Source organism: Homo sapiens, chromosome 6, assembly GCF_000001405.40.
Source record: "Homo sapiens chromosome 6, GRCh38.p14 Primary Assembly".
NCBI classification, from domain to species: domain Eukaryota; kingdom Metazoa; phylum Chordata; class Mammalia; order Primates; family Hominidae; genus Homo; species Homo sapiens.
This window is the reverse complement of record NC_000006.12, coordinates 134644488-134665629: the sequence shown is the minus strand read 5'-3', so window position 1 is coordinate 134665629 and position 21142 is coordinate 134644488. Positions and strand designations below refer to the sequence as shown.

Genomic DNA, 21142 nt, shown 5'->3' with positions numbered 1-21142 from the left:
ATCCCAATGATGGGAGGCCTGAGGAGCCCAAAGGAACTTCACCTTAACCTGGCATATTGTCACCTAGCAACTCTTCCAAAATCAGCATTCTTGTGTGAGCCTTGGTATCATCTGATGAGTACACATTCCCTTGTGCTACTGGTCTAAATATTCTCTCTTCCTTTCCACCAAAACCCATCCCCTTCCCCCTCCCCCTTCTAACAATTATTGCAGATATTACCCCTTCAAACTAGACAAGCTTCTTTACAATCTTGTGGGTTTCACTTTAGAATAACTGATAACATTTGTCTCTGTTGATTATAAAAAGGACACAGGTAGTAGATGAATGGACCTTTAACCTAAATTTTATTTAGCCCTAAAGATCAAAGGAAGCCTTCAGAATCTGCTTGTATGACTATAACCTTATAAAATCTTGAAAAGCAAGCTACACGTGGCCGGGCACGGTTGCTCAAGCCTGTAATCCGAGCACTTTGGGAGGCCGAGGCAGGCGGATCACAAGGTCAGGAGATCGAGACCATCCTGACTAATGGTAAAACCCCGTCTCTACTAAAAAATACAAAAAATTAGCCAGGCATGGTGGCAGTCGCCTGTAGTCCCAGCTACTCAGGAGGCTGAGGCAGGAGAATGGCGTGAACCCGGGAGGTGGAGCTTACAGTGAGCAGAGATCACGCCACTGCACTCCAGCCTGGGCGACAGAGTGAGACTCCGTCTCAAAAAAAAAAATAAAAAAATTTTTAAAAAAGAAAAACAAGCTATATGTACACTTTTCTCAGCCTAATTGCTGTAAATTACTCCTTGTTTGGTTTTTGGTTTGTTTGGAATACTGTCTTCATGTAATTATGCCTAACCGAAAAGTATGAATTATATTTTATTTCCTTGTTGCACAGCATATGGTGAAAAAACAAAAACAAAGATAGGCTAGTACTTTTGTACTAGCAAGGTTCACTGTTATTCAAGGTCTGAGTCCTAGGAGGGTGTTTATTCTGATCTCCTGCTCACCGACACCATGGCTTTAAAAAGAAAAAGCTGAATTAATTTCTCATTATTTCAGCTTTTCATATAGCTCTTATTTTTTGTAGTTACACATTTATTTATTATGGTTGTGTATATTGGGCAGTGCCATTAATTATATCCTGAAATTTGAAATATTTGTTATGAAATTAGATTTTTAGGACACTTAAACATAAAATCTGTGGATGGTCATAAGGAGAATATGTGTGGTATGTATGCATATGTGTGGGCATTTCTGTCTGTGTTTATGTAGTGGCAGATCCCATGACCTCCAAAACAGCCACAGGGAGAAGAGTCTTAGAAATGAACTATGTAAACACTTTCCATTTCTGATCCTTCATGGAGATGATTCCTCATCTATATAAATACACCTGTAGCTTTTCCCTGGGGATCTTTTGGTCAGATTTCTCTATTGGGGGAAAAACAAGCAAACGCAGTTACTACTATACATTGAAATAAAATATATGATCTGCTCTTTGTAAATGTAGGGACATACTCACCAAATGCTCCTCCCACTCTGTATGCTTATTGTCTTCTTGGGAACTACTGGCCACCCATGCACTCCTCTGCTATGGATGGTACGAGATCTTGATACCCAGCCTAGTTCTCACTGGGACTCCCACACTCAGCACATCACGGCTTCACTGGCCTTGCCTCCCACAAACATGTCAACATAAAATATGTACCAGCAGCAAACATTTTTAGAAGAACACTGAGTACTGTACTTAGAAACTCTTATTTACATTGCAAAAAACCCAAAACAATAGAAATAAAAACAAAGACAACTGGGCCAAAGTATGGAGGGTCAGAGAGCCAAAGGACAATATTAAGGGAGTACTGAAACGAGGGAGCAAGCCTTCTCATTAAAGTTTGGGTTTCTAGAAGATGGTGGGCATTCCTTTACCCATTCTGGTGATTACTAACACACCCTAGGGAAAGGGGAAATGCCTGATACCTTTACCTTCTTTCCTTCCCGACAGTAATCTTCCTCCTTGTTTGTTAAGAATGGGCATATTTTCTAACAGAGGCCACAGACATTCATCACTCATCCGGTGACAGGCCTGTTGTACTCTCCAGCCTATCCATCTCACCATCAAAACCCGTGGTGAGGATTTACTGCTGGCTGTCTCCTTGACCCTCTGTTTGGGGAGTGCAGTATCACAGTCAGCAGTCTTTAATAGAAAGTGGAACCTGTGGCTCTCTGTGGCTCTCAGCACCAATACTCTTCCACGCATAGGTATGCAACTACACTTCATGTAATAGAAGAACTCAAGGCTGAAGGTCATGAAGCTCTCACCACATGAGAAACGTTCGAATTTCTCAAGACAACCAGTAGGTCCATTTAGGTCATTTTCTAGAACCTAAATGTATCTTCTCATTGATCCTTATTATCATTTAAGCCTATAGTTTCAACATTTCAACATCTTCACAAAAAATCTTGATCTGCCTTTTGACATATTGGCTATTCTTTTCAGTTTTGAGTCACTTGCAAATCCAGTTACTCAAAAAATATTTATTGTCTCTGGATTACTCAAGTTATTATGCATCCAGTAACTGTACTATACTGTAGGTGATTTTAGGAAGATATGGAAAAATGTGTTAAATACCTTAAATATATATCACATTTATAGCATTTCTAAACCGATATTCTAATAATTTCATCACATAAGGATATGAGGCTAATTAGCCATGCCCTTCCTTTTCTAAGTTTTACATTGCATCTGTTTAATCAACCTATCTTTGATGAATTTGCTAAAGATTAATGTCAGACTCTTTCATCTGTAATTTCTAGAAGCTGCCTTTTTAAAAAGATAGGATGTTTGTCCATCTCCAGGTTTCCAACCTCTCTTCTGTTTATATTAATGCAGAAATTACTGAAATTGGCCTTTCAATCAAAATGTGGAAGCTTTCAGAAGCTTGAGTTACTTCATCTGAGCCTGGGAACTTGATGCTGAATCAAAAAGGAAGATTAAAAAATGAACTTATTATTTTGTCTACTATTTTAATCCCAAAGCCTGACCATGTTTGTTCTATACTTTTGAATTTGAAGATACTGTCTTTCAAAGGCAGAAACAAAACAGGAAGGAAGTAGTTCTGTCATTTCTCATCTGTTAATTTTGTGCCATCTGCTCAAGCAGTGGGCCTATTTCTTCTGTTTTTAAAAAAAAGCCTTTGCCTGTCCTTGGGAATTTGCACAAGTGCTTCTGGCCTCTAGCCTCCATTTCAACTTGTGCCATCCTCCCCCTCCCCTGCTTCTATCTTACTTACTTATACCCTTTTAAAAATATATATATTATGTAGTTGTTTTATTTATTTATTTATTTATTTATTTATTTATTTATTTATTTTCTTAAACTTCTCAGAAAGCTTCTTGTGAAGTATGGGGTTTGGACCCAAGTCCATTGCCAGCAAATCTTAAGACACTGGCCAACTTCCTTGATTTTTTTTTTTTTTTTTTTGAGATGGAGTCTTGCTTTGTCACCCAGGCTAGAGTGCAGTGGTGCAATCTCAGCTCACTGCAACCTCCACCTCCTGGGTTCAAGCAATTCTCTACCTCAGCTTCCTGAGTAGCTGTGATTACAGGCACCTGCCACCACACCCAGTTAATTTTTGTATTTTTAGTAGAGATGGGGTTTCACCATGTTGGCCTGGCTGGTCTTGAACTCCTGACCTCGTGATCTACCTGCTTCGGCCTCCCAAAGTGCTGGGATTACAGGCATGAGCCACCACACCCGGCCGGATTTCTTGATTTAATTCCCTCATCTGTAAAATGGGGATGAGAATGCATGACTTACAAAGTAGGTGTGAAGGTCAAATAGAATGATTACTGCAAAAGGTTTTGGTAGGCACTAAAGCACTATCAAGAATGTAAGATCTTATAATCTAGGTAACCAAATAGTACTTTACAGAAGCATATGTTCATACATGGTTGATGCTGGAAATGACCTGGGAGTTCATGAAGTCCAACACTCCCAGTTTACAGATGAGAAACAGATTTGGAGAGGTGAAGGAACTTTTCAAAGTTCTCAGCTGGAGACTCAATGGTAGAGAGTTTAGAACACTATGAATAGTGAGTGGCCTGTTAGCTGAACCATTATTGTGCAAATTTGATAAACTTGGTTCTAGTTTTAGCTCTAGTTATGACTTCCTCAGAGTTGAATTTGAAATTACGCTACAATTAAATTGTCCACAATTCCAAATTGCAGGTGTAGCCATTCATTATGCTCTTTTCCCATCCCTTCTCAACACAGTATCCCAGACAGCCATGACCAACCTTCCAGAAACTGGTTTGCCTGCTTTAGATTCTCCTTTTCTATTCAATTGAGGCTCATTTGTTGTTCTATGGTCAGGGTGGTTTTGTTTTTAGTTTTTTGTTTTGTGCTTTTTTTTTTTGAGCCTCCCATTCTTTGTCTGCCATTTAGTGGGAAACTAATTCAAAAGACATCAGTGAAATTAATAAATAATCATGGGAAATGGAAGCTGTGGAGGAAAGCTGGAATAACATGTTCATTTTGCAGAAAATATATATTTAAGTCAAATTAACAAATATTTAATCAGTGCCTATTAGATACGAGGTTCACCAGCCTTTGAAATGGTTCACGCCATTCTCCTGCCTCAGCCTCCTGAGTAGCTGGGACTATAGGCGCCCGCCACCATGCCCAGCTATCTTTTTGTATTTTTAGTAGAAACGGGGTTTCACCATGTTAGCCAGGATGGTCTCGATCTCCTGACCTTGTGATCCACCCACCTTGGCCTCCCAAAGTGCTGGGATTACAGGAATGAGCCACCACGCCTGGCCTATTATTTCCATTTTATGAATGATAAGACTGAGACTCAGAGAGTTTAAGTTGTTTGTCCTAGGGCACACAGACCAACTAACATAATCAGAATTTGAAGTACATTGGCCTGACTTCAGTTTGTACTTTGTATGAAAGTTTAAGATGTACTCCTGTTGCAAATTACATGTCTGACTACAGCCAGTATTATGAAGTCTGAGACGACATGCTCATTTTCTGTAAGATTTGATTCATCCAAATAATTAGGGATAGAAGCAAGGAACACTTAATTTTAGAACACCAGCCGATAGCCAGTTGAAATTTTGCCAAGAACCAAATCTAGCCTGGAAGTTTCCTATCCCAGCTATTGGCCTTTCTGTCTTCAAAATATACAGATCAAATGTTTGCTTTAAATTTGCCTTTAAAGTATTCAAGAGCAGGGGTGGGCATGGTAGCTCATGCCGGTAATCCCAGTACTTTGGAAGGCTAAGTTGGGAGGATCCCTTGAGGCCAGAAGTTTGAGACCAGCCTGGTCAACATAGCAAAACTCTATCTCTATAAAAGTAACAACAACAAAAAAAAGTATTCAAAAGCAATCTAATAATTAACTAACCCAGAATCTGTATATCTTTATTCAAAATTTTTATATACAACCAGTTACTACATTTTTTATTTTTAGGCAGAGGACACATGTACTTAATTTTACACAGAACACTGAATTCGCCAGAATTTTCTCAACTAGGCACTCTTTATTCCATCCTGCTTTGTGGGGAAAAGCAAGAGAGATCAGATTGTTACTGTGTCTGTGTAGAAAGAAGTAGACATAGGAGACTCCATTTTGTTCTGTACTAAGAAAAATTCTTCTGCCTTGAGATTCTGTTAATCTATAACCTTACCCCCAACCCCATGCTCTCTGAAACATGTGCTGTGTCAACTCAGAGTTAAATGGATTAAGGGCGGTGCAAGATGTGCTTTGTTAAACAGATGCTTGAAGGCAGCATGCTCCTTAAGAGTCATCACCACTCCCTAATCTCAAGTACCCAGGGACACAAAAACTGCGGAAGGCCGCAGGGACCTCTGCCTAGGAAAGCCAGGTATTGTCCAAGGTTTCTCCCCATGTGATAGTCTGAAATATGGCCTCGTGGGAAGGGAAAGACCTGACCGTCCCCCAGCCCGACACCCGTAAAGGGTCTGTGCTGAGGAGGATTAGTAAAAGAGGAAGGAATGCCTCTTGCAGTTGAGACAAGAGGAAGGCATCTGTCTCCTGCCTGTCCCTGGGCAATGGAATGTCTCGGTATAAAACCCGATTGTATGCTCCATCTACTGAGATAGGGAAAAACCGCCTTAGGGCTGGAGGTGGGACCTGCGGGCAGCAATACTGCTTTATAAAGCATTGAGATGTTTATGTGTATGCATATCTAAAAGCACAGCACTTAATCCTTTACATTGTCTATGATGCAAAGACCTTTGTTCACGTGTTTGTCTGCTGACCCTCTCCCCACAATTGTCTTGTGACCCTGACACATCCCCCTCTTCGAGAAACACCCACAAATGATCAATAAATACTAAGGGAACTCAGAGGCTGGCGGGATCCTCCATATGCTGAACGCTGGTTCCCCGGGTCCCCTTATTTCTTTCTCTATACTTTGTCTCTGTGTCTTTTTCTTTCCTAAGTCTCTCGTTCCACCTTACGAGAAACACCCACAGGTGTGGAGGGGCAACCCACCCCTACACTGCTTTAGCTACCAATTCTTTTTGGAACAAAGATCTCTCCCCCTATGCCTTTTTCAAAAATATTCAGACTGTAATGTTATTGTAATTTGTTTAATGGAAACGGGGAGCTGCAGTATAAACATATTTACCCAAGTCTTATTGTGATTATGGTGTCCTGAGCTATATCCTAAAGATGGAGAAGGGCCTGGAAAACCCTGTAGAACATCCGCTGTGTCCCTGAGGATCAATAATGAAAGAAGACATTAGCATGTGTGGATGACCTGGGTTCTGCCTGGGAGGTTTGTTTATTTACTTGTAGATAGGAGCATACCATAGATGTTCTTTTTCAGACAGATTAGCAAATTTTTTCTTCTTTAAAGAACCAGCATCCGTTTGCTGTTTATAAAAATAAAATTGTTTATAGTGCTGCCAAATCTAAGCAGCTGTTACGTAGAATCTCCTCCAGTATCATCGCCAGTTGAATTCGATATTCATTAGCCCATCTACTTCTGGTCAAATGAGGCAGGGGTTTTCTGTCAAACATGTTAGATTGGGCAAGTGATGATAACACAAAATTGGGCATCTATGAGCTTCATTCTCTTCACGGTTCTTCCACAGACAGAAGTATGAGAATTTGACCTTTGATTCTATTTACCTGTCTGAAAAATAACAGTAATAGGCACTTTGGAACTACCTATTTATCTTTATTTATTTATTTTTTTGGTGTACAGAGGATTTAAGAGTTAAGCTCCCTTAGTTATCCAAATGAAAGGTTTGGCATAAGCACCAACTATGATTAAGGAAATGACTAAAGTGACAGGCATTCTACCACCAGAAGGTATTTCTGAAGTGAACTGATTTTACCTTTCAATTCTTCATCATCAAATTCATACTTGGATACAGCTTAATATTAAGCAGATAGAATAAATTGCCTGTACTGTTCACATACTGAAGAGCTTTACTTAATTAGGATTTGGTTGGGAACAAGGTAGTAAAGAGGCATTATTAGTGATTACTCCTGACACTTTTAAACAGTTTTTAAGTTCTTAAAATACATCTAATCCTGAATTTCAAAGAATAGAAAGAATAATGGGGTGATGGTAAATCAGAATGGATTATGCCCTTCCTATAAACTGCAATGTAGGGTGAGTTAACAAACCGCTTTAGGCTCTGAATTAACTTTTGATCTTCTTACTGGAAAAAATTGTGCAAGTAAGATGTGTTTAACTTTTTCCTATTTGTCTGTGGCATGTCAGAGGACGGGTAAGCCTAGGAGGTTTATATTAAAGTAAAACACTGTGGAAAGTAAGGAGAAAAGTTGAGGAGCACTTAGGAATACATGTTCCTCTGCAGTTTTTCCTATGGAAGAATTTTGCACTAAGATGCAACATTCTTGCACTATTCTTTGCACTAATATGCAAAATTTTATGAGAAGAAAAGATAGTTAGTTCTTTGGTTCCTAGATTCCTTAGTCCTCTGTGACTTTAATTCAAGAAACATCAAACAGCTACTACATGTAGGTACTAGTCCTAGGCCTCAGGAGCCACCAAAATGAATAAGCTACAGAGAGAACCCTCACAGTTCTTCTGTCTAAGGGAGGAGACAGATACATAACACAACACAGAAGGTGGATTTAAGTGTCTGGCTGGAAGTAGGACAAATTATATGCTCGGGGAAAATACAGGAAGATACGATTAAGTGTGGCCCAGTGGTCAGGAGAGCTTTTGAGAAGACTTTGCACGGGGTTGGAGCTTAGGGCAGATTTGGGAAACAGCATTTCCTGGTGAGCACTGACAATGAAATTGAGTAACAGAGGAGCCCGTTTGGGAATTGATGAGAAAACTGATGGGGCTAGAGGGTAGGATGTAGTAGAAGAAGTTGGAATCATAGTTTGGGGTTAATGCGTGAAAACTGATGCTCTTCTCCTACTACTAATTGTTTTTAGAACAAAACCTCACATGAAACTGCAGAGACTCTTCTTCAATTGCCTTTCTTCAACTTCACTTACTCTTTAGAACAAGCAACACCTGATTAACAGTCTTGGCTGGGTGTGGCAGCTCATGCCTATAATCGCAGCAATTTTTTTTTTTTGTTTGAGACGGAGTCTCGCTCTGTCGCCCAGGCTGGAGTGCAGTGGCATGATCTTGGCTCACTGCAAGCTCTGCCTCCCGGGTTCACGCCATTCTCCTGCCTCAGCCTCCCCAGCAGCTGGGACTACAGGCACCCGCTGCCACGCCTGGCTAATTTTTTGTATTTTTAGTAGAGATGGGGTTTCACCGTATTAGCCAGGATGGTCTCGATCTCCTGACCTTGTGATCCACCCGCCCAGGCCTCCCAAAGTGCTGGGATTACAGGCGTGAGCCACCGCGCCTGGCCTAATCCCAGCGTTTTTAAAGACAAAGATGGGAAGAGAGCTTGAACCTAGGAGTTTGAGGCTGCAGTGAGTTATGATTGTGCCACTGCACTCCAGCCAGAGCGACAGAGTAAGACCCTGTCTCAAAAAAATAACAACAACAAGAACAGCAACAAAAAGTCTTGAAAGTCTCGTCAATGTTCCTTTTAACAAGATCCTTTAGTGCACTCTAGTGTTGCAAAGTCTAGGCCATTTAGCAATGGGTCATAGCTATGAAGCAGCAGTTAGAGATGGAAGCAACCACAGAAGTCACGAGTACAATCTTGTATTTGTTTCTTATTGCTGCTGTAACAAATTACCACAAATTTAGTAGCTTAAGGCAGCCCACATTCATTTTCTTATAGTTCTAAAAGTCCAAAATCAGTTCCACTGGGCTAAAGTCAAGGTGTTTACAAGGTTAGTTCCTTTGGGATAATCTGAGGAGAGAATCCGTTTTCTTGACTTTTTCAGCTTCTAGCAGATGCCTGTCTTTGTTGGCTTATGGCCACTTCCTTCATTCTCAAATCACATCACTCCAATCCCTGCTTCCATTGTCATATTGCCTTCTCTGATTCTGACTCCTTTATATAAGGACATTTGGGTCCCTTTCCTAAGGACAGTTGTAATTACATCAAGTCCACTCAACTAGTCTAGTAATAGTTTCCTTATCTCAGGGTCCTTAAGCTAATCACATCTGCAAAGTCTCTATTGACACATAAGTTAACATTCATAGGTTTCAAGGATTAGAAACCGGGCATGTTTAGGGGTTCGTTATTTAGCTTGCCACAAACCTCCCTATTTTACAGACAAGGGAGTTCATGCCCAAGTTGGTATAAGACCATACAAGTCGTGACAGAGCTGAGCCTACATAGCTTACTGTTTCTGATGCCCATGATGTCAATCTTTCATGCTTTCCTTGAGGAATCAGTGGTGCTCTTTGAAGAACAGATCCCCTCTGGGAGAGCCACAGCAGACATCCCAGCCAACTGAGAGTGAGACTGACCAGGCATATCCAGTGCGGCCGTTCAGGAGCAAGGAGGGCTCTTCATCCTTAGTGTCACTGGGCAAGAACCATCCCAAGAGAGAAATAAATGCTTTTTGTGAGACCAGAAAAGGGCTGAGGAGCTCTTCTTCCATTAAACTAAGAAATTGGAGAAAAGAAAAGAAAGAAATGGGAAGAACAAAGAGGGCAGAATGTAGAGAAAAGAAGGACATGTTGTGGCTCAGAGGCAAAGGGAAAGAAGAAGAAGATGATCATAACATGATCTCTTTATTAGTGTCTAGAGTTTATCTTCTATGTCACCTTGTTTCTTTATGTATTTGTATCTGCTGCTTGCAACTTATGTCCTTTACTGATTGATCTTCCTCAATATTAGATTCCCCAGAGAGTAGCAATAATTTCCATCTTTTTATATACCACTGAGCACAAATAGGTGCTTTATAACAGTTTTAATCATTTTAAAGACAATATACAGAGTGCAGCGTATGGCTATTATTAACATTTTTCTTGAAAATATTCTGGAAAAATTCCAACCTGATTTTGTACTTTAACTGAAAGAAGAGCTTGAGACGAATATGAAGAGCACATTATATTTGAAACAGGAAAATGAAGATTACCAAGAAACAGCAAAGGCATATTAACATAAAGTTGAAAAAGCAACACAAGAGATAAAATGGAACATTTGGGAAGAAAAAGTAAGTTTAAATATTATTTTCAGCTATAAATAGAATAAGGAAAGGAGAAATAAACTGTTTCCCCATTATTACATGAGGAAGTACTGCTGATTGATGATACTAAAATAGAAACACATTGCTTCTTGGCCTTTTGGCTAAGATTAAGTGTTTAAAATAGAAACAAAACATTATTTTTTCCCAAAAAGTGACCTATAAAAAGACTCAAACCATACATTAATTAGTAGGGAGGTAAATCAAGTTGAAAGAATATGGACCATTATCAATATATCTGTTAAGAAATATTGAGTATTTTTTATCTTAACATTTCCACATTTTATTTTTTTAGCTTCTTCAAGGTAGATGAGTTTTATGTTATTGTTATATTTTGCCCAATACCTGTTAAATATCAATACGCAGCAGGTACTTAGTAAATATGTGATAACAATTATTAGTGTTAATTAAGCCCGTTGAAAATATTTCATTGTGCCCCTATCAACAAACTTAGATATTTAACTTAGAATATTTATTTATGCTTAACACAAAATATATCAAAATTAAAGTGAATCTAGTATACCTCAATTTTGATTTTGGATATTTTAGGCAAATGCCTGAAAACCTACTCAAATGCTCTCCATTCCTGCCCTTGGAAATCTCACTCATTCTTCATAACCCAACTTAGTGGCTACATCCTCATAAGACCTTCCCTGATTCTATAAGCCATTTCTGACCCTTCTGAATTTCTACACTTTAGATAATTCACATTGTCTTTATAGTTACACTATTGACTTTAATTAGAATTCTTTCTATGTCTATATCATCTACTACATTTTAATTTTTCTTTTTTTTCCTTCTTTTTTTTTTTTGACATGGAGTCTTGCTCTTGTTGCCCAGGCTAGAGTGCAATGGCACGATCTCAGCTCACTCCAACCTCCGCCTCCCGAGTTCAAGTGATTCTCCTGCCTCAGCCTCCTGAGTAGCTGGGATTACAGGTGCATGCCACCACACCCAGCTAATTTTTTGTATTTTTAGTAGAGATGGGGTTTCACACTCTTGGCCAGCCTGGCCTTGAACTCCTGACCTCAGGTGATCCACCCTCCTCAGCCTCCCAAAGTGCTGGGATTACAGGCATGAGCCACTGTGCCCAGCCTAAATTTTAATTTTTCAAAGGCCAAGACTGTCTATTCATCTTTGCATCTTCATATGCTTCATGTACTAGTTATCTACAAGTGGCCAATATACATGTAAGCAAATAGATATGGATAGATATAGAATAAACAAATAACTGTAATGACTGGTCTACAATAATAACTCAGAATTACCTTCATCAGTCCCTCCTTAATCCACCTGTTGAATCAGTTCCTCAAGGTGTGATGGTGGGATCTGCAAATCCATTATTTTTTTAAACAAACCTCCTAAGTTATTCACACAAAGCCTGCCAGGCACCTGGCACCAGCTGCATTTGGGAATCATTCATCAACAAATGAGCCAGATAGACAATTCATCTTATTGTGAGAGCAATGTTCACCATAAGCATGGATAATTAGCAGATGATGGGTAAATTGCTTTGGAGGGGAGAGAATACATGATTTCAAAAGTAAGAAATGGAATATATCAACTAGAGGTGAGATAGATTGGTAATTTGGGTAAAACTAATCTGAGAAACAACTGAGTCAGCTCTGCTTAGCAAGCCCAGTCCCATTCACCCCCAAATGGAGAGTTAAATTAAGACCACTAACTAGACTCCAGGGTACTATCTTTCTTGTTCTCTGTAAGCCATCAGGATAATTATGAGTCACTCTCCTTTCTTTCCATCAAGACCTGTTACAATAATTTATCTATATATGAAGGCTACCTTTGGAAGGCTACCTTTGATACCTTTGACATTCTTTTGTTTTTTTTTGTTTTTTTTGGTTTTTTTTTGAGATGGAGTCTTGCCTTGCTCTGTCACCTAGGCTGGAGTGCAGTAGTACGATCTCGGCTCACTGCAACCTCTGCCTCCCAGGTTCAAGCAATTCTCCTGCCTCAGCCTCCTGAGTAGCTGGAACTACAGGCATGCACCACAATACCCAGCTAATTTTTTGTATTTTTAGTAGAGATGGGGTTTCACCATGTTGGCCAGGCTGGTCTTGAGCTCCTGCTCAAATGATCCACTTACCTAGGACTCCCAAAGTGCTGGGAGTACAGGTGTGAGCCACCACGCCCAGCCAGAAGGCTACCTTTGACATTCTAAGTATCAAATATGCACCACATTTTTCATGTTGTCAATAGTAACTTACAGGAATTTTTCCTTAAAGATGACTCCTTGAATCTTTCTCAGCAATATCATAATATGCTAATTAAAAAAAACTAAACTAAAAAGTCTCGAACATTAAAAAAATAAATAAAAATAAACCCAGGAGAAGAAAAATCAGGAAACTTAAGATCTCAACCTTTTTGTGAGATGGAAAGAGGATGAAGTGGTAACTGACTCAACAGAGAGTAGGGGGCTATAACTTATATGGCCTCTAAAGTTGAGTATTAATGAAAAGTGAGCTTATTCCTATCATGGAACTCTTAACATGTCTAACATCAGAGACACCAGGTTCTGCAGAGGACAAGAACTTAAAACAAAGGAATTGGTTGTAAGTCATGCTATTTAGTGACTGGACCCTTAAGCCTCTTTTTGTACTTACATATAACCTGGGATTAACTTACACCCCATCACAGGCAAAAAATCTGAGGTTTATTTTCAAGCAGCATTAAATAGGAGGACTTCAGACATGGAGGCACCAGAAAGATGGGATGAAATACTGGGCTGATCATGGAAGGATTGAAAGAGTCTGCATATTGAATGGTAGGAGCCTCCTCCCTCCTCCACTCTATTTTTATGTTCCAGACATTTACTTCTTAGGCAGAAGACAGAGGATTCCTGTTTGAAGAAAATAAATGCCATCTAAGGAGACATTGATTTCCGCATCCTACTGTTTGAGAGTTTCATTCAAAGTCTCTGACTCCCATCCAATTATTCTACTAGTTTCATCAGTTAATAAGCTCATGTTTACACAGAGCTTTTTTAGTGTATTGTTCTTAAATGTTAATTAATAGCCAGGGATTATCAGACATTTCAAGAAAGCCTTTAGTATGAAAGAGAAAAATCAAGTATATAAACAGAAAAGGAAACAAAAATCAGAAATTCAGATCATTTAGAAAATGGCTTTATTTTTCCACTGCCTTCCATTTACTGCTAGTCCTGCTCCAGTTCTGATAAATGGTTTTTGCCTCTTTTCTCTTTAAACGAAAGAGTTCTACCCTTGTACCTCTTCTGCGGGTTTCTGTCTTGTTTTCTCATACCTGAGACTGCCTTGATAACCCCCCCAGCACTCACTTCCTCCCAGACCTGAGCTTTACCCTGCTCTAACCACCATTCCTAGACACACATAGGTCACTTGTCCCTTGTATACTCAATTCCTGACCCAGAAACCCCGCTTTGTAGCATTGACCTTGTTCCCTGCTCATGGTTGTCTCTGACCTGTCCACCTGCTTGCAAGAGCTTAGATTTTCCATTGTTTTGCTCCAATCACCTGCTGTAATGCTGGAACTTTGCTGGTCCTGCTGTCGTCTACTGGCTGCCTATGCCTTCCTCTCCTGACTATCTCCAACCTTCAGGACGTTAGCTGGTCTTCTCCCATTGCCTGCATCTGCATCTGATCCCTAAGAACTTAACTTACTCCATTGGATATGTGTTGTTTTCTTTCCTGGCCCCTCTAAGGCTGAGCCATCCTACTGAGTCCTTAACTGAGTACTAAGTAACAAAATGGTTTGGGCACCTACGAGTCATCTACTATTCCCTAGTCTAGAGCATAGGTTGGCCCAAAGTTGCCAGTTAAAAAGACACAGCAACTTGGTTAAATGAAGAAAGGATCTCTATTATTCTTAATTCTCTCCCTGCAAGTTGAAATTCTGATTGCCTGGGTCACTCTGTGGCATAAGTTAGCAGTGGTAGAGACCTGTCCCTACTGTCTGCCTCCACCAGGTAAACCATGCTCTGCCACCTCAGTGTCCACAGCCATGAAGCCCTAACCACGCTGTCCTGAGCACCTAGTGCTACCTTCTTCTAGCCCACCTGGATGCTGAGTGAAGTCTCTGGGGAGGTCTCTGTTCCCAGAATTTCATAGTTAATTGCTGCTGCTGCTTTGAATATTCTCTTTTAAAAAGAAAGAAAGAAAGAAAGGAAGGAAGGAAGGAGGAAGGAAAGAAAGAATTCTTTGGAGGTGAATGTTTGAACTAAAAAAAATCTCAGAATGATTAAAATGTAGGCTGACGCATGAAAATATACTCCCCAAAGATATCTTCAAATAATCATCTTTGAATTTTTTATAGATTCTGGTGGAAATAAAGGAGATTAAAAGGCATTATTTAATTTTTTTGTACTTATCTTTCAGAAGTAGGGCTCTAGTTGGTAAGCCATTAAGTGCCCAGTAATGAAAGAAATAGTCTTAAAATGTAAATTGAAATGGGGAGATCTTCTAAATCCACCTACGTTTTTCATTGTTCTTTCTTCAAAAGTTTCTTTAAATGTAACTTTTCTCATAATGTTGAGTTCATATTTTAGCTTCTGAATGTTACCTACTTAGTCAGATATTATAATTCCTTTAAAAATGATGAAGTATTATTGTCTTTAGTGAAACATGTCACAATTCAAAACACATGATCATAAATCAGAACACCGACTTAAAATGTTAATTTTAGTCCACAAGTTGATTGTTTTGATTATGGTTGTAATTCTCTCTTTTTTTTTTTTTTTTTTTTTTTTTTGAGACCGAGTCTCACTCTATCACTAGGCTGAAGTGCAGTGGTGCAATCTCAGCTCACTGCAACCTCCACCTCCCTGGTTCAAGTGATTCTCCTGCCTCAGCCTCCCAAGTAGCTGGGATTACAGGAGCATGCCGCCATGCCTAGCTAATTTTTGTATTTTTAGTAGAGATGCGGTTTCACCATATTGTTTAGGCTGGTCTTGAACTCCTGACCCTGTGATCTGCCCACCTTTGCCTCCCAAAGTGCTGGGATTACAGGCCTGAGCCACCGCGCCTGGCCTGGTTGTAATTCTTAAATGTAGTCTGGTGCCATCCATGGTATAAAGGTGATTTTTTTAAGGAATGTAATAACAATGGTTAATAGTAAATAAATTACACAGAGACAAAGCTATGTGCTTTTAAAATTTCTTTCAGTCTTTCCTTTTAGTGCTAATATATATATATATTTTTTTGAGATGGAGTTTCACTCTGTCGCCCAGGCTGGAGTGCAGTGGTGTGATCTTGGCTCACTGCAACCTCTGCCTCCCGGGTTCAAGCGATTCTCCTGCCTCAGCCTCCCGAGTAGCTGGGACTACAGGCACCTGCTACCATGCCAGGCTAATTTTTGTATTTTAATAGACACAGGGTTTCACCATATTGGCCAGGCTGGTCTCGAACTCTTGACTTTGTGATCCGCCCCCCTCAGCCTCCCAAAGTGCTGGGATTACAGGCGTGAGCCACCGTGCCCAGCCAGTGCTAACTTTTTTTTTTTTCATTTTCTTTAACATTTGTCAATCTCACTTAAAAAAAAAAAGAGCGATTAGGCCTCAGGCACCAAGGCTTTCCTACATTCCAGCTGGAATTAGAATCACCTCGTTATGCTTTTAGTTTTTTAAAATAATTACCTCTTATTTATGACAAATGATGTTGGCATTTAATTTTGGATTGGTTTATCACAAGTATTAAGTTTACTACAGTATAAGGCATGATATACGGTATTTGGCACACAGATACAGTTCATTCTGGGCATGCAGTATGTTAATGATAGACACTTGGGAACCACTGGTTTCTGGGAAGTGCAAGGTTTCAGAGTTTCTCAAACTTGAACTATTGTTGGTTGATTTTTTCACTAAATCAACCAAGTCCATTTATTGTTTGATGTTAGATATAATCACTTGTGATTATAATCTTACCACTTATATTAATAAAATGCAACTGGTCTTGTGGCATTTAGGCCTAATACTGGTTTTGAAAAGAAATAAAATCTTTAAACCCCCCTGAAACAAAAATATCCATTGCTAGCTCCTGTTTATCTTTAAACTTGAGGGAAGTCTATGGAGCATATCTCCTGGCATCAACAAGATCACAAATGCAATGTCATTGAGAGAAAGGAATCTTGTCATAGGTATCAGTAAAAAAAAAAAATATATATATATATTTATTTATTTATATATATGTGACCAAGAATGTTTGTGTATTTTAAAAAATTATTGTCTATATAAAATAGTAAAATTTAAAAATTCTTATAGAATTTCTAAAGCTGACCACAAAATACATACAACACCCTGCCACACACACACATATACCTTAGATGTTTGAGAAACATTTGGCATAGTATTGGCTTAACTGTTTTTCTGATTTCCTACTATTATTCTGATGTCCTGTTAGGAATCCCCAAATAATAGGTTCAAGTAATTCCCCTGCTTCGGTCTCCCAAGTAGCTGGGACTATAGGCATGCACCACCACGCCTGGCTAACTTTTTGTATTTTAGTAGAGGTGGGGTTTCACCATGTTGGCCAGAATGATCTTGATCTCCTGACCTTGTGATCTACCTGCCTCGGCCTCCCAAAGTGCTGGGATTACAGGTGTGAGCCACCGCGCCTGGCCATGAGGTATGGGTAGAATTTAAACAAAAGGGTCATTCTAAATAAATTATCCTCAATCTTTCACTGAGGATTTGCCCTGTGCCAGCAACTGGGGGAAAAATTAACATAATTAAAACAATAAAAAAGTCTCATAGAAAAATATATTGATAGAGGACATGGATATAAACAAATCATTACTATACAATGTGTTGACGGGTGTAATAGAACTCTTTGGAAGCATCGGGGAGGAAGAAATTAGTTCTGTCTGGGGAATTGGGAAAGCATTTATGAAGGAAATGAGCTTTTATCTGGGCTTTGAATAATGAATGGAATTTTACCAGATGGAAAAAAGATGAGAAATACATTCCAGGCAGTGAGCATAACATATGACAAGGCATGAAGACATAAAGACAGTGCTGTGTTTGGGAAGGGTGAGACCTTTCTTTGTGGTTGGAGTTGGGGTAGGGTGAGGAGAAAATGAAGTTTAATAGAAAAATTACCTTGAGAGACATGTGGGGACTAATTTTTAAAAGGCTATGTATACCATGCTCAGGAATTTAAACGCATCCTATAAGAAGTTAAGTACAACAGTGCAGTTCAGATTTTTGCTTTTAGGAATATTACTTTGATGACAGGATAGAGGTAAATTCATGAGATATGGCAAGGGTGGGTAGTAAAGAGAAGGCACCCTCAAGAGAAAGTATCTTGCATGGGATAACACCAGGAGTAGGGAAGTTTGCGGTAAATTGTAGAAAGCCTTGGAGGCCAGATTGAGAAGTTGGCATTGAGTTCTGTGACAATGCTATACTTTATAAAGATTGATCTCGATAGGGTCTGTGCCACAAATTAGCATAAGGAGACTCTAGTGGCTAGGACATAGTTGGGAGTCTACCATGACAGCCCAGGCAAGAGATGGATATAGAAGACATCACTGGTCAACCATCCACCATCCATTCTGTTCTTCCTTCCTTCCATCTTCTAACTGAATCCTGGTTTTAGTGCATGGTACCCCCATCTCCTCCTAGCTATAACCTTCAGAAGAGGAGGCACCATCCCCTGCCCAGAGGAGGAATCCACTCTAGGATGAGCCCTTAGGGTCTATTTCTAGACAATGAGATGTGAAAGAAGTCCTTTAGGTGCCTTCTCGGAAGTGTCTTCTCCTTTTGAAAAAGGGAAACAAAAAAAGAGACGATCTTTTCTTCTGCTGGAAGTCGTCTCCATGTGACACTTGGAACTACCATGCCACCAAAATTTTGCTATGATAGGAGGAGCTAGTCTGTGGACAAAGCCAATATTCAAGGAACCTGATTCCTTGATTATGATTTAAACAAACCTGGAACTGCCTTCCCTTCAGACATCTTGTTATATGAGATAATGAATATTCTTATTGTCTGTGTCAATATGAGTTGAGGTTTTATGATATGTGCAGCAGAAAGCATTCATGCTAATGCAAGAAGTAATAAACGTTTGTGAATTAGAGCAGAAGCAGAAGGAAAGTAGTAGGGAACAAATGTATGGGACCCAGAAGTAAATCTTTGCTGCATTAGGGTTGGTGGGATTAGACAACTGAGTATCAGTGGAAAGGAGAACTATGACGAAGGTTCTAGGGCTGCTTGGGTCATTGCGAGCGTGGAGTGACAAACACAGAAACAGAGACTTAAAAGGTGAACCATATTGGGAAAGAAGTTAATAAGCCAGATTTTATGGATTTATATTGATTGTAATGTGAAGAAGTCTCTACAAAGTTCAGGGTTGGCAAACTGAGAAATGAGACCACAAGCCAAACAGTTATTTTCCTTTCCATAGGCTTGGAGGAATTCTTAAATTATGAATGCTTGCTTCTTGCTGTAGCTTCTACTATTCATTATTTATGTTTTCATAAGTATAATTAATGCAATTTATATTCACAACAGCAATGGATAACACAAAATGTAATAAGCAATTTCTTATTTGGAAAATTCCATTAGTACTTTCACAATACTAACATTCATAAAAGTGTTCTGCTATTACTTCAATTCACAGAAATGTGCCCATCTGCAGTGTAGCAGAGAAGAAGGAACACAGTCTTGGGCTCAAATATCTGCTCCTCCACTTGCTTACCGTTGGGCCCCAGCAAGTGGCTTAACTACCATGAGGCTCAACTACCATGAGGCTCAATTTGATTAAATTTTAAATAGGTTGCATAAAACTTGATCTGCAGGGTTTATGTTTAGTAATGGTAATTACCATACACACCCACATTTTCAAAATTGCATTTGTTTTCATTCTTGAAGTTTTCAAATTTGTCGTTTACAGATCATGACTACCTAGTCTTGATTTCCATTTTAGTTTTCTCCCTATGGAGGCCATTGTTATCCCCGGAACCCTCAGGTCCCAGAAAGGAGGAGTTGCAAATCTGATTGTTGAGCTGAAGGGCACCGTTTAGGCCATGCCATTTGTCTGGCAGGTCACTGTGTCAAAAGTGTAGGCCCAGCTGTCTTGTTTTCTCTGTTTCTTATTGTAAGACTAGCTTTCCGAGCTCCGGAGAACTCATCTCTTCAGGTGCTGGAGTTAGCTTGTAGGAAAACTAGGACTCAGCGGTGTCATGAACATGGTGAGCTGGAACCTACAACAAGGGTTCCAGTTCAACTTACCAGAGAGGCCTCTATTGGGATCTCTTGCAAATAATATGTATTTTTATTTTTCACTTTTCCTTGTTTTTTATATGCATAACTCCTCAGGAAGCTCATTAGGAGAAACTGATTAGGCCAAAATAGGCCTAATCTCGTGATAAGTTTCCCCTAAATCTTAAGTAACATTTGTACATTCTAACATTCAGCAAAGATTTATTGAATACCGACTGTGTGCCAGGCACTGATTTATGCTATCACAACTTTTTTTTTCTGTGTTGTTTAAATAGAGGCTTTTATTTTTGAGAGAGTTAAGTCAGTAATGCACTTAGGATCCATTTAAGCCATCACAATTCATAAGTTTTCACTTGTTGAAACATCCATAAGTCTAAATCTAGGTTCTAGGTCTACAAACTACTTGTGAATGTAGAGTCTTAGTAATCAGAGCAAAGCACTGTGACCCCATTCATCCATAATATCAGAGAGTAAGGACTCTTTTTTCTTTTTTTTTTTTTTTTGAGTCTTGCTGTGTTACCCAGGCTGGAGTGCAGTGGCGTGATCTTGGCTCACTGCAACCTTTTCTCCAAGTTTCAAGTGATTCTCCTGCCTCAGCCTCCCAAGTAGCTGGGATTATAGGTGCCTGCCACTACACCTGGCTAATTTTTTATATTTTTAGTAGAGACAGGGTTTTGCCATGGCCAGGCTGGTCTCAAATTCCTGACCTCAGGTGATCCACCTGCCTCGGCCTCCCAAAGTGCTGGGATTATAGGCATGAGTCACCGTGCCTGGTCGAGTAAGGACTCTTAAAGAAAAGGAACACACCTGACTGACTCACCTTGCCCCACCTGTGCCTTGTAACCCAGAGCTCTGCCCACACATGAGTTTCTAATGACCTGGGTGCAGCAAGAGCTCTGCCCTGCTTTTGATGATCAAGGACCCAGTGACTTACAGGGTTGGACATATTCTGACAAGGCACCAGTCTTGACATTGTTCCTAGATAATCTCAAATACTTGGGCCATTCCTTTTAAATTTAGTAACCACATATCCCTTGTGAGGACACATAAACTTTGCCTTTGTGTGTGTGTGTGTGTGTGTGTGAGAGAGAGAGAGAGAGAAAGAGAGAGCTGCGTGATAATTATGGATGTCAGTTTCACTTTGACATTTGGGAACGAAGTGTTTCTACTGGTGAAACTCAAAATTTTGCTTTTATAACAAATACATTCATTATATAAACTCTAAAATACATCAGAAATATTTGGTCATTAAATGATTCACTACTTTTTTTTTTTTGAACCACTCCCCCAGGGAAAGAAAGAACATACTCAGTT

The 21142-nt window shown here is 39.6% G+C and overlaps 2 annotated features.

The window, feature by feature from the left end:
- Window positions 2640–2809: an enhancer, noted in NCBI's record as "experimental_90067 CRE fragment used in MPRA reporter constructs". NCBI's record gives its function as "activates a minimal promoter by MPRAs in K562 erythroleukemia cells, with activity observed for both the introgressed and non-introgressed 6:134984044 variant alleles {active_cell/tissue: K562}" and the evidence as "EXISTENCE:reporter gene assay evidence [ECO:0000049][PMID:34662402]".
- Window positions 3778–4615: an enhancer, noted in NCBI's record as "NANOG-H3K27ac hESC enhancer chr6:134982153-134982990 (GRCh37/hg19 assembly coordinates)". NCBI's record gives its function as "activates a minimal SCP1, AML or CMV promoter by ChIP-STARR-seq in naive H9 embryonic stem cells {active_cell/tissue: H9 hESC(naive)}" and the evidence as "EXISTENCE:reporter gene assay evidence [ECO:0000049][PMID:30033119]".